At 45.6% G+C, this 24,401-nt stretch overlaps 1 protein-coding gene across 5 annotated transcripts in view; it reads right to left on the bottom strand.

Moving 5' to 3' along the window:
- Nucleotides 1-24,401, bottom strand: part of PRRC2B (proline rich coiled-coil 2B) — a 126,543-nt gene that overhangs the window by 33,737 nt on the left and 68,405 nt on the right. For all 5 annotated transcript variants that reach the window (NM_001384822.1, NM_001384818.1, NM_001384823.1 and 2 more), the window contains exons 6-12: nt 22,129-22,272; nt 19,815-20,056; nt 19,251-19,372; nt 18,653-18,795; nt 11,291-11,381; nt 7,101-7,293; nt 1,379-1,694 (exon numbers count right to left, since the gene is read on the bottom strand). In NM_001384822.1, coding sequence (NP_001371751.1) covers nt 1,379-1,694; nt 7,101-7,293; nt 11,291-11,381; nt 18,653-18,795; nt 19,251-19,372; nt 19,815-20,056; nt 22,129-22,272 — 1,251 coding nt within the window. The remainder of the gene's footprint in view (nt 1-1,378; nt 1,695-7,100; nt 7,294-11,290; nt 11,382-18,652; nt 18,796-19,250; nt 19,373-19,814; nt 20,057-22,128; nt 22,273-24,401) is intronic.

Here is a 24,401-nt window from a genome sequence, read left to right as displayed (position 1 = left end):
GTGACCTAGGCACATTTTTCAGGCTCTCCTTGGCCATTTCTTCATCTGCAAATAAGAATAACTACCATGTGTTCACCAAGGGTTTCTGTAAGAATTGAATTAATTACAATAATATACTGAAAACAGTGCCTGACAGGCAGAAAATGCTCAGTGCAACTTTCCTATAAGAGTGGCACAGTCCTCACTCAACCTTTAATGAAAGGAGGGCAGAAGAAAAACTAGAAATGAGTTCCCTGGCCAGAAGGGCACTAGGACTCTCTAACCCGAGAAGCTTTCAGAGCCTCAAACATCCCCTTGTCTCCTAACAAGAGCTGATCTGAGTTTATTTAAGAAAATTATAAAGAAAACAGCTGATTATATTCTTCAAAACTGCTACAAGAGACACTCTGCATTATAGAGCACTGCTTCATTACTCTTAAATAGGGCCGTGTTGCCCAGGCACAGTGGCTCACGCCTGTAATCTCAGCACTTTGGGAGGCCAAGCCAGGTGGATCACTTGAGGCCAGGAGTTCCAAACCAGCCTGGCCAACATGGCGAAACCCTGTCTCTACTAAAAATACAAAAATTAGCTGGGCGTCGTGGCACACGCCTGTAATCCCAGCAGCTCAGGAGGCTGAGCTGGGAAAATCGCTTGAACCCGGCAGGCAGAGGTTGCAGTGAGCAGAGATCACACCACTCCAACCTGGGTGACAGAAAGAGACTCCATTTCAAAAAAAAAATAGGGCCATGTGATCCATTCCTTTTAGAATCAACACCAGGAAAAAATGTATTCTACCAAGCAAGTGGGCTTATTTTTATTCCATGTTAAAGGATCTGTGGTTTTATTAAAGTCCTAGAGCACACGTGTCTTTGATTAGGCAGGGATAGCGAGGATAATAGTGACGATGATGAGTATCATCAGTGAGTAGATGCATGGTTTCAATGTCCCAGAAACTGGAGCGTGCTGTACACCCCTCCGCGTGCTGGCAGGTACATACTCATCCCATTTCACAGATGAAGAAACAGGCTTCAGAGAGGTGAGGTGCTCACCAGCTAGTTTAACAAGTTCAGATGGGAGAAGGAAAAAGGGCTGAAAAACTACCTGTTGGGTACTATGCTCAGTACCTGGGTGATAGGATCATTCATACCCCAAATCTCAGCATCACACAATGTACCCCCTGAAACTAAAGTAAAAGTTGAAATTATAAAAAAGAAGTTCAAATAGGATCAGAACCCAGGCATTTGACCCAGGCCTATGCTCTTAATAACTGATGCTTCCCAATACGATCTCGTTGTAAGCCATACGTTCTGCTAGCTAAGAAGGAAGGCAGTTGCAAGTAACAAGACGAGGACAACAGGCCAGGGTTTCCAGTTGGTGGGAAGACGGCCCAGCTCTTACCTTTGTGGACAGCAGGGCCGTTTTCCTGGGGAGATGCCTTCTCAGCACTTGGAGACCAGGGCACTTCCTTCTCTGCCTGCTTCCGGGCCTCACCTGCCTTTCGTGCCTGCTTACACTTCTGGTCCAGCTGCTTGAGTTTGGCAGCACAGGCGGCCAGCCTCTCCTCCCGGGCTCGGCGCTCCTCTTCTTCCCGGCGCTTTCGGGCTCGCTCCACCGCCTCGGACATCTCTGACTGAATGAACTTCTGCCTTGGTGGGGGCTTGTCCTCCTTGTCCTCGATGGACTGTTGCCGGAACATGCTGCCCATTGATGACTTCTGCCAAGAGAATGTCTCTGAGATAAGGCGGTGGGTCCGGGACCCGGGATACAGGAACCACTCCCACTTTGGGATCAGTTCTCCTCCCAAGATCCTCAAGCACCTTCAAGAGGCAGCACAGGCGTGTGGCAGACAGAGCTGGGTTCGAATCCTGCTCTGGCCTCTGCTGTATGTGAAATGTGGTTTAGGCCAAGTGCCAACTCTCCATATCTCACTTCCTTGTTTTTAAAATGGGGACAACAAAGGAAGCTCTTAGGATTGTGAAGGTGAAAACCATGTTTGCAAAGCAACATGCGACCCGCACACGACAAACACTCCCACCACTGCTGATGGGCATGCAAGCTAAGGGCCTCCAAGGCTAAGAACCGGAACAGGAAGCCACACACTGATCATTCCTGGGTCACGAAAACTGCTACTCCTGCCCGCACAACAATACATAAACCCCTGGGTAGAAAGAGCCCTAGGAAAATGAAATTCACTGTCAGACATAAAGCTTCGAAGTGATCTTTATTAAGCATGTTGGCTGGGCGCAGTGGCTCACGCCTGTAATCCCAGCACTTTGGGAGTCTGAGGCGGGTGGATCACCTGAGGTCAGGAGTTCGAGACCAGCCTGGCCAACATGGTGAAACACCGTCTCTACTAAAAATACAAAAATTAGCTGGGCATGGCGGAGTGCACCTGTAGTCCCAGCTACTTGGGAAACTGAGGCAGGAGAATCGCTTGAACCTGGGAGGTAGAAGTTGCAGTGAGCCGAGATCGCGCCACTGCACTCCAGCCTGGGCAACAGAGCGAGACTCCATCTGGGGGAAAAAAAAAAAAAAGCATGTCTAGCAAAGGCACGGTAGCTCATGCCTGTAATTCCTACACTTTGTGGGGGCCAACGTGGGGGACTGCATGAGCCTAGGAGCTCGAGACCAGCCTGGGCAATATGGTGAGACCCCGTATTTACCCCCCAGCCCCCCAAAAAAATACGAAAATTAGTTGGGGATGGGCACATGCTTATGGGTCCCAGCTACTGAGCTGAGGTGGCAAGGATCACTTGAGCCCAGGAGGCTGCAGTGAGCTGAGATCACATCACTGCACTCCAGCCAGGGGACAAGGCTAGATCCCATTAAGAAAAAAAAAAAAAAAAAAGCATGCCTAAAAAAAATCTCTTTTGGATTCTTTATCCGTTTCTGAGTTTCTTGCTGGTTGCCAGTTACTGGGACCCTTTCTTACTGGTCTGCAGGGGTCAAGCAGCATGCAGACCTGGCAACAGGACAAATGATGGACAGCTGTCACCTGAGCTCTGGCCACTGAAATTCTAATGAGATCTGAGTACCAGAAAAAGACAGAACTTCCTATTTTGAATGCTAGTAACACAAATGTATACAGCTGTCAAAAATCAAATCAAGGAAACAGGATCTAGGCCTTTTCTTGTAGGTGAGTTATACTTCAGTAAAAGAAATATACAACAAATTTACTGTAGTCAAGGAGTTTCCTAAAAATTAACTTCTCATAAGCCAGAGGTAAGTACTGTAATCATAAGATTATAAACTTCCAATTTAGAGGCATGAAGGTACATTTTATATAATATCATTGGAACCGAAGCGTGCAGTTTCCTTTCACTTTGCCATCGAACCTGAGGGTCTATCCATACCTTTCTAACGGCTGTGTATTGATCAGTTCATGGCTCATACCAAAATCTGCCTATCTGCCTTTATCCCATGGGATTCAATACACCACTGCACATAGCCTTCACGCCTAGCCCTGATTACTTCCTTCAGATAATTTCCTGGAAAGGAAATAATAGACTCAGAGGGCACATGTACACCGTCAAGACCTTTGATGTGCTTTCCTAAAAGGCCCTGAAATTAGCAATCATTTTATAGACTAAATGTTCTGCAAAGTAATTTGCACTGAGACCTTTTTTTTTTTTTTTTTTTTAGACGGAGTCTCACTCTGTCACCCAGGCTGGAGTGCAGTGGCATGATCTCGGCTCACTGCAACCTCTGCTTCCCAGATTCAAGCAATTCTCCTGCCTCAGCCTCCTGAGTAGCTGGGAATACCGGCGTGCGGCACCACGCCTGGCTAATTTTTGTATTTTTAGTAGAGATGGGGTTTCACCATGTTGGTCAGGCTGGTCTAGAACTTCTGACCTCGTGATCCACCCGCCTCGGCCTCCCAAAGTGCTGGGATTACAGGTGTGAGCCACTGCGGCTGGCCAAATTGAGAATTCTTAAAAATTTTCTTAAAAATTCAGTCAGAAGAGGCCAGGTGCATTGGCTCATGCTTGTAATCCTAGCACTTTGGGAGGCCGAGGTAGGTGGATCACCTGAGGTCAGGAGTTCAAGACCAGCCAAAGCAACATGGTGAAACCCCATTTCTACTAAAAATACAAAAATGAGCTGGGTGTGGTGGCACATGCCTATAATCCCAGCTACTTGGGAGGCTGAGGCAGAAGGACTGCTTGAACCTGGAAGGCAGAAGTTGCAGTGAGCCGAGAGCACACCACTGCACTCCAGCATGAATGACAAAGTGAGGCTCTGTCTCAAAAAAGAAAGAATGAAAGAAATTTGGTCAGAAGATGCCTTGGATACATAAATTTAGTATATAGATTTCATCACTGTTGATGTTCAGCTAATTTACAGTGCTGTTATGAGTAGGTTAAAGTGAAACCTTTTGAATACTGATCAGCACTACTTCTTGACTGGTGAAAAGGAAAAAAAAAGGAATACGGAGCAACCTCAACATGTGAATGAAAATGTGGATTAACTGCAGAATAATTTCCAAGAGCAGTGGCATTGTGTCTATTTTGTTTCACTTCTGTATCTCTTGTACCCAGCACATATGTATGTGCCTGGCATACAATAAATATTCAATAAGAAGACTGTAGCTGAGGGGCATTTTCATTTTATAAGAATGTGGAATAGAAGCCCTTTCAATAGCAAAGAGCAGGCCGGGCGCAGTGGCTCACACCTGAAATCCCAGTACTTTGGGAGGCCAAGGTGGGTAGATCAGGGTAGATCAGCCTGGCCAACATGGCAAAACCCTGTCTCTACTAAAAATACAAAAGTTAGCCAGGCATGGTGGTGCACGCCTGTAATCCCGCTACTCGGGAGGCTGAGGCAGGAGAATCGCTTGAACCCGGGAGGCAGAGGTTGCACTGAGCCAAGATTACGCCACCGCACTCCAGCCTGGCGACAGAGTGAGACTCCATCTCCAAAAACAATAATAAATAAATAGCAAAGAGCACTGAAAATAGCAGGCTTTACCAAGTGTATTCAAAGTCATGACTCCCCCTTCCCCAGCCCTCCCACTCCTCAACAGTCCAGTCCCAGAGTCACTAGGTGTGGCAATGCAAGCCAGGAGCCTGGTGCCAGGGAGTCCTGGCGGCTGACTGCACTCCAAATGGTTAGAGCCCAGGCAAGGGGAGGAGGGCATGCAGGTAGAGGTGTGGGGCCAAAGCCCAAGCTAGATGAGGGGGACATTCATAGGCAGAGTTGGCCCAGCAGGGACATTCAGGGCATCCAGGAGTGGGGACAATGACATCTGAGTGGGCAAGGAGAGCATATGTGCAAGGGAGAGAGTGTGGCAGCAGAAATGAGATTGGTCATACATGGGGAGACTGACCAAGTGAGTATAAATACGAGGGACGATGAGAGATAGATTCTCCCTGTCACAGAAAGGAGGTGCAAACATGCACTGGGAGGAAGTGGAACAAAGTCTGTGGAACTGGAGGTATCAATGAGAACACAGTTTCCAATATGGACAGGTACAGAAATAATACAAATATGAAAGTGTGTATTTGTGCACACACATATACCTACATACATTCCCCGCAACTGTCCGCTGAGGAGGCCCGGAAGCAGTGACACCCCAGCAGCAAGGAGCCTGCTGGGTCTCAGACACTGGTTTCTAAATATCATCCTTCACTAAGAGGAACTAGGACTTCATGGAGAAAGGGCGGACCCAGGACAAGACAGGTCATGCATCCGGGAAAGATGAAGGAAGGGCTCCAAAAAGGATGGAGAACAGGGAAAAAGGACACGCACTGGCCTGAAGGAACACCCAATGGCCAACCAGGTGAGAGTAGATTACACCCACTGATGTAAATAAATGAGTAAACTAAAAGCTTGATCAAAAACGAGATGTTCAGTCTCAAAGTTTCTCCCAACAAAATTCTTATCAACTACAAATAGGGAAAAGAGTAACTCTACAGCATGAAACCTGGCAGGCACCCCATTAATCAAGAGACCAAAGTGCACGTAGCCAGAGGGGGACAGGATGAAGTCGTGGTTGCCTTGGTGGGATGAAATGAGAAAAGTCAGGTCATGCCTGAAGATCCCTGCCAAGGATGGAAACTGTGGACTTCTTCACAAGAAAGATGATGATAAACCCAATTTGAGGGGCATTCCACTGGCTTGTAATCTTCCAAAGCCTCAAAGTCATGAAAGTGAAGGAAAGGCTGAGGAACTGATCCAGATAAAGAAGGCTAGAGGTGTGTGATTCTGAACTGGATTATTTCGAGTAAGGACATTAATGGGACAACTGGTAAAAGCTGAATGGGGCCTGCAGATTAAACGACAATCAATTATCAAGGCTAATTTCCTGGAAGTAACTGTAGTTACCTGGGTGGAATGTCCCCATCTTGGTAGGAAACAAGTACCACAGTGTAAAGAGTCTCATCAGGTTGTCAACTTACTGTTCAATCAGTTTAGAAAAAATATTGTTTGTAATGTACTTCCAACTTTTCTATCACTTTGAAGCTGTTTTAATTATTTCTTTGGCTTTTTTTTTTTTTTTTTTTTTTGGAGATAGGGTTTCACTGTGTTGGCCAGGATGGTCTTGAACTCCTGGTCTCAAGCAATCCCCCTGCCTCAGCCTTGCAAACTGTGTGAGCCACCATGCCTGGCTGTTTTAATTTTTTTTAACTATAACAAGAAGACAAATACAGTGCCTCATGCCTATAATCTCAGCACTTTGGGAGGCTGAGGTAGGAGGATCCCTTGAGCCCACGAGCTCAAGACTAGCCTGGGCAACATAGTAAGACCTCGTCTCTACAAAAAATGAATGAAATGAGCCAGGTGTGGCAGCACACAGGTAGTCCCAGCTACTCAGGAGGCTGAGGTGGGAGGATCGCTTGAGGGTGGGAGGTGAAGGATAGAGCAAGACCTTATCTTAAAAAAAGTAAGAACAGCCGGGCATGGTGGCTCACACCTGTAATCCTAGCACTTTGGCATCACTTGAGCTGGAGTTTGAGACAAGCCTGGGCAACATAGTGAGACCCTGTCTCTATGAAAAAACATTTTAACAAAAGAAGAAATATAAAAATGAAAAAGAAATGCCCACTTAGGACTTCTCAGAAACCCAGCCACCCAACTCAATGAAGTACAAATACACAGGACAGCCAAGGGCCCTTGGTACCTGGTAGTCAGGGCCTGGTGCCCAGCCATGAAGCTTCCTGGGCGGTGGCTGAGGGTCTGGCGCCTTTCGGACCACACGGGACGCACCCACTGCTTCAGCCCAGTCCTTCCCTTCCTCTCGAGTCCGCTTAGCGTCCGCACTGTCTGCAGAGCTCATTGACAACTGCCGCTGCCTCCTAGGGTCCCAACTGTTCCTAGGACAAACCACATTTGATGTTAAGTTTTTGCACTCAGGCCAAGCATTTCTGATCTCACTGGTCAGAGGCCTTGAGAATTCCCAAGTCAGCTGTCCAAATCATTTTCTTCATTAGAATGGACCACCACTCCCACTACTTCCATGTGAATTCCACGGTTCAGCCCCACCATTTATCAAGTCACTCTCATTAAACAGAGCCCCAGGCACGATATGTCACACTATTTCACCGATGCAAAAAAAAGTCCTCATGATCCTCACTTTAAAGCAAGCTTGTCCAACCACATGTGGCCCAGGATGGCCCTGGGCTCTGGATGCAGCGCAACACAAATTCGTAAACTTTCTTAAAACATTATAAGAGGGCCTGGGCGTAGTGGCTCACGCCTGTAATCCTAGCACTTTGGGAGGCTGAGGCGGGCTGATCATTTGAGGTCAGGAGTTCCAGATCAGCCAGGCCAACATGGTGAAACCAAGTCTCTACTAAAAATACAAAAATTAGCCAGGTGTGGTAGCAGGCACCTGTAATCTCAGCTACTAGAGGCTGAGGTGGGAGAAGTGCTTGAACCCCAGAGGTGAAGGTTGCAGTGAGCCAAAATCGCGGCACTACACTCCAGCCTGGGCAACAAACAGAGAGAGACTCCGTCTCAGAAAAAAAAAAAAATAAAAACACATTATGAGGTATTTTTTCGTAACTTTTTCATTTTAGCTTATCAGCTATCGTTAGTGTTAGTGTATTTTATGTGTGGCTCAAGACAACTCTTCCAGTGTGGCCCAGGGAAGCCAAAAGATTGGACACTCTTGATTTAAAAAGTCAGTAGCTGAGTCTCATCAAGGTTAACGGGGCACCCCTCACAGGGAGGAGCTCACAGATTTGAACCAGGACTCCCAGGTGCGTGTCCGTCTCCTTTTGGTACATCTCCCTCCCTATGCTCTGCACAAGCCAGTTGCTCAATAAATGCCCCTCAAAAGAACAAAAGATGACTACTAAACAGTGCCACAATAAAAAGAGCAAGAGGAGACAAGCAGAGCCGACACAGCATGGAAAAGGAGGAGGTGTTCCAAACAGAGCTGCAGGGGTGGCTGGACAAGAAGGGGATGGGTGCCATGCTCGTCTGGACGCCTCACAATGGAAGCAATGGTGCTGGGGCAAAGCATTTGCAAGGGCCCGGTAATACTGCAGATCAGAGAAAAGCGGGAATCAGGGATGGCAGATGTGTGGGCCTGTGTGTCTACCCACACACGTACGTGGCGAGGGAGGGAAGACGAGGCAGGTAACATAGCTTAGGAGATTACAGAGGGGAAAATTACAGAGGGGACAACAATTACAGAGGGGACAACGGTGATTCCTATCTGACTTTGTCAGAAATGGAGACCACAGTAAAGCTGCTGACCTGTCTAAAAGACCTGTGTTTTTAGAAGATGACTATGGGCAGGGTGTCAAGGACGGGCCATGGAGGACAGGCTGAAAGGATGGAGATGAACTGGTGGACCCATGGATGGTCTGGAAAAGGAGGAGGTCCCAGTGGCCCCAGAGAAAATGAAAAGAGGAGACAGAGTCAGGGCAAGTTTTGGGAGCCAATTGTGTATGAGGAAATAAAGATGCCAAATAAGACATGGATGCATGCACTAAGTCTCTACCAGGTCACCAACCAGCTCAGAGAACATGAAGAAAAAGAGCAGGTTTCAGGAGGAGATCGTTCGGGCACTCTGATTTTGAAGTGCCCTTGGTCAAAGTCAGGGGCAAAACTGTCTCCAAAACCAATGTCCAGTTCCTTCAGGGGAATATGCAGTTCCCATCGCCTCAAAGAGACAAGGAACACAGAGTGTCCTACTGCTCCAATCAGTCTCTAAGAGTTTATGTCTTTGCCTTTGATTTTAATTCTTGATCACAGCTCCTTCTGAGCTTAGTGTTCCAGGAACTGACCCATAGGTATGTCCCGACTGCATCCAAAGCTTCAGCTGAAATCAAACAGCATGAAAGGAAATTACAGAATTTCATTTTTTGTGTGTCATCAGAAAAAGAGTAGCAAAGATTATTACCAACTCTTTCCAGAAGATGGGCACTTACTTTAGGAAGCTTTTAAGTAAAGGATGAAATAACAAAGAAAAAGATGACTCACAGATTTGACTAAACAAATATTCAGTTATTGACAAGAAAACAGAGAAAAATATTTGCAAGACCAACAGCAAAGCATTAACATCTAAACAATATAAAACATTACATTTTAACGGAAAGCAGTGATAAATGTGAAGGAAACAGGCATTATACAAAGGAAGCAAAGGAAAAAGTCTTACTTGCTAGTACTCAAAAAATACAAATTATGACAACCATAGGTATGATTGTTATTATTAATTTTTTGAGACAGGGCCTTACTCTGTCACTCAGGCTGGAGTGCAGTGGTGCAATCATGGCTCACTGCAGCCTCGACCTTCTGGATTCCAGTAGTCCTCCCACCTCAGCCTCCTGAGTAGCTAGGACTACAGGTGCACACCACGCCCAACTAATTGTGGGGTATTTTTTTTTTTTGAGGTGGAGTCTCGCTCTGTTGCCCGGGCTGGAGTGCAGTGGCATGTGGCGTGATCTCGGCTCACTGCAAGCTCCGCCTCCCGGGTTCATGCCATTCTCCTGCCTCAGCCTCCCGAGTAGCTGGGACTACAGGCACCTACCACCATGCCCAGCTAGTTTTTTGTATTTTTAGTAGAGACGGGGTTTCACTGTGTTAGCCAGGATGGTCTCGATCTCCTGACCTCGTGATCCGCCCGCCTTGGCCTCCCAAAGTGCTAGGATTACAGGCGTGAGCCACCGTGCCTGGCCATTGTGGGGTATTATTTTAAAAGTGCTACTAACATTATAAAAACTAGAGGGATGAGAGTACAATGCAGTATTTTCTAAAGGAAATTAAACAAAACTAAACTAGTCCAAGGAAATGATCCAAAAAAAAAAAAAAAAAAAGAGACAAAATTAACATGGTCAAATAAATTCAGGAAAGCTGGCATGCATTCTGCTTCTTCACCTCCCCAGTGCACTTAATTTTTTTTTTCTTTTTCCTTTGAGACAGAGTTTTGCTCTGTCGCCCAGGCTGAAGTACAGTGGCACAATCTTGGCTCACTGCAACCTCTGCCTCCTGGGTTCAAGCAATTCTCCTGCCTCAGCCACCCAAGTAGCTGGGATTACAAGCACACGCCACCACACCTGGTTAATTTTTGTACTTTTAGTAGAGACGGGGTTTCACCATCTTGGGCAGGCTGGTCTCAAACTCCTGACCTCAAGAGATCCACCTGCCTCGGCCTCCCAAAGTGCTGGAATTAACAGCACGAGCCGCCGTGCCCGGCCCCCAGTGTACTTTAGCATGTTCAAGGCTCCGAGGAATCTGGAGTAAAGAAAGAAGTTGAGGCCAGGCACAGTGGATCACTTGAGCCCAGGAGTTTGAGACCAAACCTGGGTAACGTGGCAAACCCCATCTCCAGCAGAAAGATAAAAATTAGCTGGGTATGCTGGCGTGCATCTGTGGTCCTAGCTATTTGGGAAGCTGGGGTGGGAGAATCGCTGAGCCCAGGAGATGGAGGTTTTAGTGAGCTGACATCATGCCACCGCACTCCAGCCTGGGTGACAGAGTGAGAGCCTGTCTCAAAAAAAAAAAAAAAAAAAAAAAAGAAGTTGAACCCAGGGAGGTTTCCCAAACTTGCTTGGCCACAGCAGCCTTTTTGGGCACGACAGCCACAAGCAATCCATGAAGACGTGGTCTGCATAACACACCTGGGGACACACTGATGCAGTGGTGAAGAGGCCGACTATGCACAGGACACAGTCACACCTGCAGGCAAACCCTGGCTCCCCTCCTTCACAGCCATCATCAATAGCTGTCACCCTCAAAACAAAGTGGAAACAGCATCTGTCTGCCATTCCAGGTTGCTATGGAAACTGGGAAATGCTCTGGGTACACAACAACACTAAGCAGGGATGCACTCATGCTGATAGGGCAGGAACGGGTCCTTACCACTTTGGCCTGCCGTCCTTCACAACTTCTTCCTCCTCTTCATCATCACTGAACTTCAGTTTCTCAGAATAGTCCACTTCTTCATGGAGGCCTACAACAGCAGGAGGGCCCAGGAAGAATGAGAAAGAATGAAAAAGTCAGTGGTGGCCGGACGTGGTGGCTCATGCCTGTAATCCCAGTACTTTGCGAGGCTGAGGTGGGCGGATCATGAGGACAGGAGTTTGAGACCAGACTGACCAACATGGTGGCTCATGCCTGTAATCCCAGTACTTTGCGAGGCTGAGGTGGGCGGATCATGAGGTCAGGAGTTTGAGACCAGCCTGACCAACATGGTGAAACCCCGTCTCTACTAAAAATACAAAAATTAGTCGGGCATGGTGGCGTGTGCCTGTAATACTAGCTACTCAGGAGGCTGAGGCAGGAGAATCGCTTGAACGCAGGAGGCAGAGGTTGCAGTGAGCCGAGATCATGCCACTGCACTCCAGCCTGGGCGACAGAGCGAGACTCCATCTCGAAAAAAAAAAAAAGAAAAAGAAAAGGTCAGTGGTACCCAGGCACCATCGGAGAGGTTCTTTTGGCCAGAAATCTCGCTATCCCAGCAGAGGAGCTGAGTCAACCACCTGGCTGCCTACCCCTGTGACTGAAGGGCAGTTTTGGCTTCTGGTAAGAGCAGGGCAGCTTGGTTAGACTAACCCTCCCACAGGTAACAATTCTTAAATCTGAACATTATATCTTTAAAATCTATTTCAAGGCCCAAGAGGATGAACAAAGCAGGCAGAAACCAAGTAGTTGTCTACCCTTAGAATACAGAAGCTTGACTTGTGAGATTTGTGAGTTACCACTTGCCCCAGGCACTGATCAGCCCAAGTGGCTCAGATGGCAGAAAGTATCCATCACAGAGGACTGTGTGAACACAGTGTGGTAGGTCCACACAATGGAATATTATTTGGTCATGAAAAAGAATGAATACAAACACATGCTATAACATAATTAACTGTGAAAACATTATACTAAGTGAAAGAAGCCAGACAAGAAAGGCCACATATTGATTCCATTGATAGGAAATGTCCAGAATATGCAAATCTATAGAGATGGAAAGTAGATTTATTGTTGCCACAGGATTAGGAGGTGGGAGAGAGCGCCTGCCAACAGGTATTGGGTTTCTTTTTTGAGTGATGGAAACATTCTGAAATTGAATAGTGGTGGTAGTTGTACAACCTTGTGAATATATACTAAAAACCACTAAACTATAGACTTTAAAAGGGTAAATTTTATGTTATATGACAATTATGTCAATCATATAATTATATTAAAATTATGTGAATCATATAATCATATAATTCACAGTGGCTCACGCCTGTAATCCCAGCGCTTTGGGAGGTCAAGGCAGGAGGATCACTTGAGGCCCAGAATTTGAACCAGCCTGGGCAACATGGCGAAACCATATCTCTACTAAAAATACAGAAAAGTAGCCAGCCATGGGGGTGCACACCTGTAGTCCCAGCTACTCCGGAGGCTGAGGTGAGAGAATCACCTAAGCCCAGGAAGTTGACGTTGCAGTGAGCTGTGACTGTGCCACTGCACTCCAGCTTGGGCAACAGAGCAAGATCTTGCCTCAAACACAAGGCTAACTAAGCACCATGATGTATGCCTGCAGTCCTGGCTACACAGGAGACTAAGGTGGGAGGACTGCTTGAGCCCAGGAGTTTAAGACCAGCATGGGCAACAGAGCAAGATCCCAACTCTAGAAAAAATAAATTAAATTAAAATTAAAAAAATTTAAAAGGTAACAACAAAAACTCAATCTAATTAAAAAGCAGAGTTAGGAACTGAAAAAGCAAGTTGCAATTACGTGCTGTCTACTAAATAATCACTTTAAATACAAACATAAAGGAGCTTAAAGGAAAAGAATGGAAAAAGATTTTCGCTGAAAACAGTAAGTCAGAGCAATGGTATGAACACAGGACAAAACAGACTGCAAGATAATAGACTACTAGAGATAACGAGGGAAATGTGGAAACACACCAGAAAGGCATAGAAACTATAAATGTGTGTATGCCTAATAGCAGCTTCAAAATAAATGAAGCAGAAACCAACAGTATTAAAGGGAGGAACAGATAAATCCATAATTGGAGTTTAACATCTCACTTTCCTTAACTCATAGAAGCAGACAAAAACATCAGTAAATATACAGTAAGATCTGAATGCCACCATCAACCACCTTGACTAAGTTGGAACATACAAAACATGACACTGAACAACAACTGTAGAATATATACTTTTCAAAGGGCACCTGAAATATTCTCCAAGACAGATCATATCCTAGTCATAAAACAAGTCTTACTAACTTGAAAACAACTGAAATCATACAGAATGTGCTCTCTGGCTGTAAGACAACTAAATTAGCAATCTAGAAATGTCCCCGTAATAAAAAATTGCCTCAATGATTTAAAAAATCATTTAAAATAGATACAGAAAACAAGTCAAACAATGGAGAAAATGAACAATGCTAAAAGCTGCTGCTTCGTAAAGATTAATAAAACAATTCAATTCCTTGGCAGAAATGAAGAAAAAGAAATATACAAATTATCAGGAATTAAAAGATATCACTACAGATCCTACAGACATCAAAAGGATAATGTAATATATTTTCAACAACTTTATGTTAATAATTTCAACAACTCAAAAGAAATGAACAAATTCCTCAAAAAACACAACTTACCGAAAAACTCACACGAAATGACATAGGGAAACTGCACAGTCTCATAACTAATCAAATAAAATAAATTACTGAAAACATTTCCACAATGAAAACTGAAGGGGCAAAATTGTTTCACTGGTAAAGTAATACTGGCCAGGCACAGTGGCCCAAACCTGTAACCCCAGCCACTCAGAAGGTGAGGCAGGAGGATCACTTGAGCCCAGGAGTTTGAGGCTGCGTTGAGCCATTATTGCAGCAGTGCACTCAGCCTGGGTGACAAAGTGAGAGAGACCCTGTCTCAAAAAAGAAAGAAAAAGAAAAATATATAATACTGATCTTACAAAAATACCAATCTTATACTGATCTTACAAAAATACCAATCTTATTCTTTAGGAAAGTAGAGAAGAACACTCCACAACTCATTTTATAAGCCCAGCATAACTTGATACCAAAACCTGACAAAGACATTAAAAGAACAGAAAATTACAAACTAATATCCCTCATGACAGAACTTTAAAACATATTAACAAATTGAGTCTAGGCATACAAAGAGGGAGGGTTTATTCTAAGAATGCAAGGTTGGTTTAGCATTAAAAAAAAATGCAATCTATTATCAAAATAAAGGAGAAAAATAATATGAACACAGATGTAGGAAATCATTGAACACAATGCAATACCCATAATTTACAAAAACAAAAAACCCAAAGGCTCAGCAAACTAGACACAGAAGGCAACACATCCTCAACCTGATAAACAGCATCTCTGAAAAACCCACAGCTGACACTTCATGCTGACACATGAAACATTTTCTTCCTCAGACCAGAAAGAACTTGAGGTTAATATTATACTAGAAGTATACCACAGTGCAATAAGGCAAAATACAAATAAATAAATAAAAGGCACGTAATCTGAAAAAGACAATGTAAAACTCCTTATTTACAAACTACATAAGGGTTTATGTAGAAAACTCTAAGAAATCAACAAAAACTAGTAAAACTAATGTATATTCAACAAAGTGTCTGGTACCAGTGAACACAAAAAAATCAACTGTATTTTCTTTTTTTTTTGAGATGGAGTCTCGCTCTGTCACCCAGGCTGGAGTGCAGTGGCACGATCCTGGCTCATTGCAACCTCCGCCTCCCGAGTTCAAGCAATTCTCCTGCCTCCGCCTCCCAAGTAGCTGGGACTACAGGCGCGTGCCAACACGCCCGGCTAATTTTTTGTATTTTTAGCAGAGACGGGGTTTCACCATGTTAGCCAGGATGGTCTCAATCTCCTGATCTTGTGATCCACCCACCTCAGCCTCCCAAAGTGGTGGGATTACAGGCGTGAGCCACTGCGCCCGGCCTCAGCTGTATTTTCTATATAATGACAGCAAACCCTTAAAAAATGAAATTGTTCTTAAAAATCAATGTCATTTCTAATAGCATCAAAAAACCGTAAAATGCCTGAGAATAAATTTAACAAAAGACATTCAGGACCTCTACATGAAAACTGTAAGTAAGACACTGCTGAGAGAAATGAAAGCCCTAATAAAGAGATACACCAGGTTCCTGGACCTAAAGATTCAAAATTAAGGACTGGACATGGTGGCTCATACCTGTAATCCCAGCACTTTGGGAGGCCAAGGCGGACCTATCACCTGAGGTCAGGAGTTCGAGATCAGCCTGGCCAACATGGTGAAACTTCGTCTCTACTAAAAATACAACAATTAGTAGGGCATAGTGGCCCACACCTGTAATCCCAGCTACTTGGAAGGCTGAGACATGAGAATCACTTGAACCCAGGAAGCAGAGGTTGCAATGAGCTGAGATCATGCCACTGCACTCCAGCCTGTGTGGCAGAGTGAGACCCCATATCCAAAAAAAAAAACACCACCAAGTTTCAAAGTTAAGATGTCAGGTGGGGTGCAGTGGCTCACGCCTGTAATCCCAGCACTTTGGGATGCTGAGGTGGGCAGATCACAAGGTCAGGAGTTCGAGACCAGCCTGGCCAACATGGTGAAACCCTGTCTCTACTAAAAATACAAAAATTAGTTGGGCATGTGGTGCGCGCCTATAATTCCAGCTACTCGGGAGGCTGAGGCAAGATAATCACTTGAACCCGGGAGGCGGAGGTTGCAATGAGTCGAGATCATGCCACTGAACTCCAGCCTGGGCAATAGAGCAAGACTCTGTCTCGGGAAAAAAAAAAAAAAATTTAAGATGTCACTTATCGATGTTGATACAGATTCAACATAATCCTAACCAAAATGCCCGCAGGCCCTTTGTAAATACTGACAGGTTGATTCTAAATTTATGTGGAAACAATCTTGGAAAACGACAAAGTTGGAAAACTTACACTACTGAAATTTAAGATTTACTATAAACCCACAGTGTGGTACTGGTATGAGGAACAACTAGATCAATGGAACAGTGTCCAGAAATAGACCAATGCTTTTATAGTCAATTGACTTTTGGCAAAGGTTCCAAAGCAATTCGATAGGGAAAGTGAAGTCTTATCAACAAATGTTGTGGAGAATTGGCCGTATGGGAAAAAACAAACCTTGACTCCTATCTTATGCCATATACAAAAATTAATCCAATGTGGATCAAAGACCTAAAATTAATAGTTAAAACTATAAAACATCTAGGAACATCTTTACCACCAAGGGGAAGCAAACATTTTTTTAAACAGGACACAAAAATAATAACCACAAAAAAACCCAAATTTGTAAATTAAACTTCAAAATTCAAACTTCTGCTCACCAAAACAGTGTTTAAAAAAAATTAAGACAAAGAATGCAATAAGGAAATATATTTGCAAAATAAAAGTTGCAAAGGATTTGTATCCTGGGCTGGTACCCTACCACTCAATTTTTTAAAATTCAGATACCAAACAAAGGACAATATATCAGCTGTCAAATAGCACATAAAAGTGTGTTTATCATCATTAGTCATCAGCAAAATGCAAATTAAAAGCACAATGAGATACCACTAAACACCCACTAGAATGACTAAAATTAAAAACACAAACATGTTCAAGGCTGCAGTGAGCTTTGATCACACCACTGCACTCCAACCTAGGAAACAAAGTGAGACCCTGTCTCTTTAAAAAAAAAAAGATGAACACCAAAATGTAAGATCCAGACCTACCAAATTCTCACACACTGCTGCTGGGAATGTAAAATGGCACAACCACCAGGGGAAAAGGTTTGGACAGGTCTTAAACACTTAATCCTATGTCTACCCTTTGACCCAACAATTCTAGATACTTACCCAAGAGAAATAGAAGTATGATGTATATAGTGGGGCTTTTGAATGAATAAACAAATTACAGTATATTGATGCACTGGAACATATCTCAGCAACTAAAAGCAACTGGCATATAAACAACATTGATGAATATGAAAACCATACAAGAGTAAAAACTGTATGACTCCACTCATCTGAAGTCTGTTAACTAGGCAAAACTAATCTAGGGTAAAGTGAATCAGAAGAGCAGCAGGCCCTTGAGCGGTGGCAGGGCAGAGCACTGGAGAAGCAATGAGGAAGCCTGCGGTGGTGAGGGAAATGTTCCCTCTTTCTCTGGATATGGATGTGTGTGATATACACGTATCCATTTGTAAAACTGTACAGGTAAAATGTGATATGGGTACCTTTCACTATAATTTAAATCTACTTGAAAATAAAAAGAACTATAAAAGAAAATAATCAGGTTGGGGGATGGGGAGTGGGGGGAGATAAACGAATAAGAATGGCAGAACAAGCTGGGTTTGTGGCACCCGCGTGTAGTTCCAGCTACTCCGGAGGCTGAGGAAGGAGGAAGAGTTTGAGGCTGCAGCTCACCATGATGGACCCTGCAAACAGCCACTCCACTCCAGAATGGGAAACACAGCCAGACTCTTTCTCTTTCCTTTTTTTTTTTTTTTTTTTTTTTTTTTGAGACAGTGTCTCCCTCTGTCGCCCAAGCTGGAGTGCAGTGGTGCGATCTTGGCTCACTGCAACCTCTGCTTCCCAGGTTCAAGTGATTCTCCTGCCTCAGCCTCCTGAGTAGCTGGGACTACAGGCACGCGCCACCACACCTGGCTAATTTTTGTATTTTTAGTAGAGACAGGGTTTCACCATGTTAGCCAGGATGGTCTCGATCTCCTGATCTTGTGATCTGCCCACCTCAGCCTTCCAAAGGAATTATAGGCATTAGCCACCGTGCCCAGCCTTCCTTTTTATCTTTATATTTTTTACTGCTCCTTGCAGAGTAGGGCTAACCCACAGGCAGTATGCCCAGAGTAGCTGAGACCCTGTCTCTTGGAAAAAAATTAAATTAAAACAAACAAAAACCGAATGGCAGAACATTGGTACTTATTGAACCTGAGTGATCAGTGGTTGGGAGCTATTTTCTTTTTTGTTTAAATTTTGCATCATCAATAATTTTTAAAAAGTTAACAACAAAACTCTAAGATCAAGACTAAAGACCAAAAGAAGCTAATGGCTTGGCCAGGAAGGAACCTCTAGTCAGGGAGTAAATGAGGAAGGAGGGCATCAGGTCTGCTTCCCTGTCCGGCTCTTCATCCCTATCTTGCCAAGGGAAAACACACGGTGGTGCCAGGGGGTTTCCATCCCTGGTAAGTACATATGGACTTTGGTCCTGCCCGTCTAAACCACCCGTGCTTCTCTGCCCACCTGCCCAGCCATCATCGGCATCGGCGTCCAGATCGTCAAGGCCCTTCAGGTTTTCCGCATTGATAATGGTGGGCCGTGGTGCCCGCTCCACCAGCTGCCTTAGTGGGCGGAGTGGGCGAGACAATCCCAGCCTGTTTTCTTTTCTGATAAAAGAAAAGATGATGGAATCATGTCCAGTATACAGACGGAAGCAAAATCAAATACCTTTCCAAAAATAAATTCCACACTGCAAAGGTTCATGTTTGATTTAATTATTTCTATCAGTTCCTTTAAAAGAAATATATAATGAGCAAACGAGTACATCCCAGAAAGAAGTTCTGCCTTGTCCTGCAGTTTTACATGCTGGTTGCTAAGGCCTAGGGCAGCAGCAACACACACGTGCCAGAACTTCAACTCTACCAGGCACTTGAAATCATGACTCAATCTGTCATCCAGCTCCAAATCCCAGCCACCACCCCACACACCCTGCCACGCTGAGCTGGTTAAGTTCTCTGTGGTCTCCAGGAGACACAGCACTTCTATTCATCAGCCCCTCATCTTGACCAGAATCACCACCGCACTCATCTCTACACACGTGACTGTAATGCAATGGACTCACCCGTCTTGGTCATTCATCTGGAACTGTCTAAAAGGAACTCGAGGTTCAAGGCGGAGCTGAGGAAGGGGAAAAGAGCCTCGTTCCACTGTACCCTGGTTTTCTGATGACTTCGGCGAACACATCTGAAACATAACATCAATGAACAGGATTTGCTGGTAATGGCTGAAACTGCAATTTCCACTTAAATCAGAATGTGTTTTATAAAGTGGAAAATGGGAAAAAGAAACAGGAAAGTCATGGGGTTTCCTAATTAATCCTACCACCATCTCCCCCATTTCATTCCTGCTGCCAGTAAGTAGACTTGGGGACCTATGTCAGGGAAAACCTGCCTCTCCTGTTTCTAAAGAACCAAAGGCTAAAATCATATCCACATCACCAGGGAAAGAAGTCAGAGGCCCTGAAGATTTAAAAAGCAGGGAGAGAAAATGCAAAACGAGTGGAAGCCTCAGAAGTAGGGTAACAGGGCCAAGAGGAGACCCCAAGGGGGACATTCAACCACTTGACCTATCTGCTGGACACAATCCAACTTCATGGGGGGAAAAAAAGTACACTCTGAAGACTTACAAAAGCAGGAAGCATGTCATGGTATGTAGGTGGGTGGTATACATTTCCCATGAACTGTGAAGCCCCTTTTCGGACAGGCTGAGCCGGGCGGAGAGAGGGGTCCTTAGAATCGCTGGTACATGCCGAGGAGGGGGCTCCATCTCCCGTACTCGAGTTCCTGCTGCCCAGCTCAGTTGGGGAGGTGCTCAGAGACGTGGCAGAAATTATGTGTCGCCCACCGCCCTCCCTCCAGCTTGTCACATCTGGAAATTGAAAGGGGGCAAAAGGGGAGAGGGAAGAGGAGGGGGAAGGAGGGATCGTATGAGGTTCTGAAGGTCAAGGGACCCCCTCCTTCACCAAAAAAATAAAATGAAAAACAAAAAACACCAAAAGTGAAGAACTGTTAAATCTGTCAGGGAAGGTTGGGGCAGACCCCTGGCCAATGAGGATGAACTTGCTGAGGGAAGTCTGACTGTGAAATATAAAATGAGATCTACTCAGAGAGAAGGCTTCATCAGTAAGCAACAATCACCACCCTTCCCCAAGTCTCACAACCCAGAGAGATGAAGATGGCCCTGATGAAACCAGCCTTGGGTCATTCCTTCAACAAACACTGACCAGCCCACTTAGGGTCAGCACTGGACTACACATTAAAACAGGAGCAAGTTCCGGGCACAGTGGTTTCAGGCTTTGTTTAGCAGTGGCACCTTTTAATAAAGATCCCCCAGCCCACAAGACAGGCAAGGCGCAGCTGCTGTCCTTCCAGTGGAGGTGTGGGGCACTTGCGTAGCTCACAGACGGAAACCTGCTGACCTGTCTTTTTAAAATGATGCTTTCTATTGCCAAATGTGGTAAGATCGGGTGGAAATTATTAGAGGCCAACAAGAAATCAAATGAGACAACAGACCCCTGTTTTCGGTCACCTTTTGGTTAGAAGTTGAAGCACAAAGGTCTCTGAGTTACACGACCCTTAAGGGAAAGAGACCCAGGACATGTCTGATCCCAGCTCTTCAACCCCTTTGCTGTGTGATTTGGGGCAAGCCAAGGTCACCCCTCTGTCCATGTTTTCTCATCTTCTCCAATGAGGAGATTAAACTGATGCTTAGAAGCTTCTTCTATGTCTACGTTTTTATAGTCCCACAAGGCAGCTCCTCTTAATTAACCCCAGAAAGACATAATTCGTGTCCCTTAAAATGATGCAAACAGGCTGGGCGCGGTGGCTCACGCCTGTAATCCCAGCACTTTGGGAGGCTGAGACAGGCGGATCACCTGAGGTCAGGAGTTCAAGGCCAGCCTGACCAACATGGAGAAACCCGCCTCTACTAAAAATACAAAATTAGCTGGGTGTGGTGGCACATGCCTGTAATCCCAGCTACTCGGGAGCCTGAGGCAGGAGAATCACTTGAACCCGGGAGGCGGAGGTTGCAGTGAGCAGAGATCGCACCATTGCACTCCACCCTGGGCAACAAGAGCGAAACTCCATCTCAAAAAAAAAAAAGCAGCAAAATAAACCAGTCCTGTGTGGGCCACTGGAAAGGCAGTGAGTGCTGGTTTAAGTAAGACACATCCACAGTGATCACTGACTTACAGGACATCACTTATGACTTGAATGGGAGAGGCCTTGGGGATACATCAAGGCAAGCAAACAAAAGGCCTCACAATTTAAGACCTGATCAAGACCCCTGGACTACATGAGCCACTTCAAAATCCCTGAGTAGAACACGTGGAAAATCACATTCCTAAACACCACCTTAACCTCCAGCCACCCTCGGCTTCCAAGGAGAAATTTCCAGCCAGTGCTACACAATCCTGCCACTTCCCTGGCCCGACCTAAGATGAGGGGCCAGTAGAGACCAGTACCAGGCTGATTTATGTAACAATCCCCAGAGGAATGGGTTAAAAATACAGGTCCTAATTGGGCTGGGGGAGGGGAGGACTGGAAATCAGACTCATTCACAAACTCCCCAGTGATTCCGACTAGATGTAGCTAGGATTGGGAGCTTTAGAAAACAAGCTCTTGAACCGGGGACCTAAGTTAATTGGTCCTTTGTCCATCCTTGCCACAGCCACCAGGCACAGCAAAATTAACAACCGGATGACAGAGGGGGAGGGGACAGGCCTGGCCCAACCCAAGAGACAAAAAAGGCACAAGGCCCAATCCAATGGCCTAGGCAGCAAGTCCAATGGATGCACAGATCACGTGGCGAGTCAAAGAGCCACGTTTCCAGCTCGAACCGGAGACCCCAGTGGCATCAGCACCCTTTTAGGAGTGCAGAGAGATGAGAGGAGGAAGTTCTGTTACTCCATCGAGTGCCCAGAGGCTGCAGTCACTTACTCTGAGGGCGGAGGCTTGGTCCTGGCCCATACGACAGATCTAAGACGCCCTTTTCTTTGCCAGCCTTGTCCTGCCCTCCAGCTGCTTTCAGCGTCGGAAATTCCTCGGGAGAGAAGGATAACAGTCGGCTTGAGCCCCTTAAACCTGTCAAGAAGACGGGGTAGACATGGAGGAAGTGAGATGGAGTCAACAGTCGTCTGCTTCCCAGCTCCACACCTTGAAAGCCGTGTTGCCTGGAAGTGGGCTTTTGAAGGGAGTCTTGTCACAAGGGTGCTCTGTGCTGGCAGATGCCACGAGGGTGCTGAGGGTGGCAAGGGAGACTGCTGCTGACAGCATCATGCCCCTTCCCAGCTGACCTGCAAGGACCAGTGCCTGCTTACAAATGGAAAGAGGTAAGACATCACAGCCGCTCCAGGCCACAGCCTGCCCCAGCAGGGAAGGTTCTACTGACTGCCTGGGGCCACAGACAAGCACAGCCTCCTATAAAATCAGCCCAGGGGAGGCCAAGAAGGCAACTGCTTTCCTGTGGAGGCAACACCTACAGAGTGTGCTGCCATCCCTGCCCCAGTCCACCCCAAAAGGATTAAGATGCTGCTTTTGCCTGGCACAGTGGCTCACACCTGTAATCCTAGCACTTTGGGAGGCCAAGGTGGGTGGATCATTTGAACTCAGGAGTTCAAGACCGGCCTGGGCAACATGGCAAAACCCTGTCTCTACCAAAAAATACAAAAAATTAGTCTGGTGGCGGGCGCCTGTAGTCCCAACTACTCAGGAGGCTGGGGTGGGAGGATCACTTGAGCCCGGGAGGTGGAGGTTGCAGTGAGCCGAAAACGTGCCACTGCACTCCAGTCTGGGTGACAAAGTGAGACCCTCTCTCTAAAAATAAAAAAATAGGCCAGGCGTGGTGGCTCACGCCTGTAATCCCAGCACTTTGGGAGGCCGACGCGGGCGGATCATGAGGTCAGGAGATCGGGACCATCCTGGCTAACATGGTGAAACCCCATCTATACTAAAAATACAAAAAAAAATTAGCCAGACGTGGTGGCGGGCGCCTGTAGTCCCAGCTACTCGGGAGGCTGAGGCAGGAGAATGGCGTGAACCCAGGAGATGGAGCTTGCAGTGAGCCGAGATCGTGCCAATGCACTCCAGCCTGGGCAACAGAGCGAGATTCCGTCTCAAAAAAAAAAAATAATAAAATAAAATAAAATAAAATAAATAAAATAAAATAAACAAATGCTGCTTTCTACCATCAAATGTGGTAAGATCAGGTGGAAATTAGATTTATACACATGAGTAACTCCTCATTCACCTGTCCTTCCGCATTTTGTACTAAGTTCCTTGAGCCCTACAAGGCCAAACATTTCACTCTTATAATCCTGGGAACAGTTTATTTCTTCATTCTTTCATTCATTCCTTGACATTACAACCTGCTTTAGAGAAGAAGCCTTTCCTAATGTTGTTCCCTTACACAGAAAACTTAGCACAGAGGTTCTGCCACCATTTTTGGATGAACAGATTAAAAATGGCACGTCTTTTGATCTGGAATATGCAGCACACTCCAGACAGGAGCAATCTAGGAACAGTGGCGACACCACACAACAAATGGCCCCCTGTGGAATGCCTTGTTCCCTATACAGCTAAACCCAAATCTTCCCCTAAGTAGTTTAAATTATTCTTAGCACCACTGATCCACGGGCCTGTTCACTAAAGCCGACTGTGCCGGAAAGGCGCGGCTGGATCACCACACAAGCACGTGGCAGCAATTCGCTTGCCACTCCCTTAGTAAAAAGGTCCAGGGTCAAATAAACCTGACGGTAAGACTGGACACCATTCACCAATGACCAGCCAGAGATGGACTCTAAGTGTCATGAAGGAGCTCCAGTGCTCTGTGAAGGGGGCTCTGACTCAGAGTCGCTTCATTATGGTAGAAGGTCACTGGCAAGAATCAAATAAAAACTGTATTTTTAAAATACAGTATCACCAGCCTGGACAACATGATGAAACCCCATCTCTACAAAAATCACAAAAATTAGCCGGGCATGGTGGTGCATGCCTGTAGTCCCATCTACTTGGGAGGCTGAGGCGGGAAGATTGCTTGAGCCCAGAAGACTGAAGCTATAGTGAGCCAAAACTGCACTACTGCACTCCAGCCTGGGCAACAGAATGAAACCCTGCCTAAAAAAAAACAAACAAACAAACAAAAAAAAAGGTAGATTTGAAATTAGGAAAAAAACCAGCACCTGTCCAACATTGCTGTTCCATCTCTTTCTTCT

Source organism: Homo sapiens, chromosome 9 (assembly GCF_000001405.40).
Source record: "Homo sapiens chromosome 9, GRCh38.p14 Primary Assembly".
NCBI lineage: Eukaryota > Metazoa > Chordata > Mammalia > Primates > Hominidae > Homo > Homo sapiens.
This window is presented reverse-complemented; position numbering and strand designations above follow the sequence as displayed.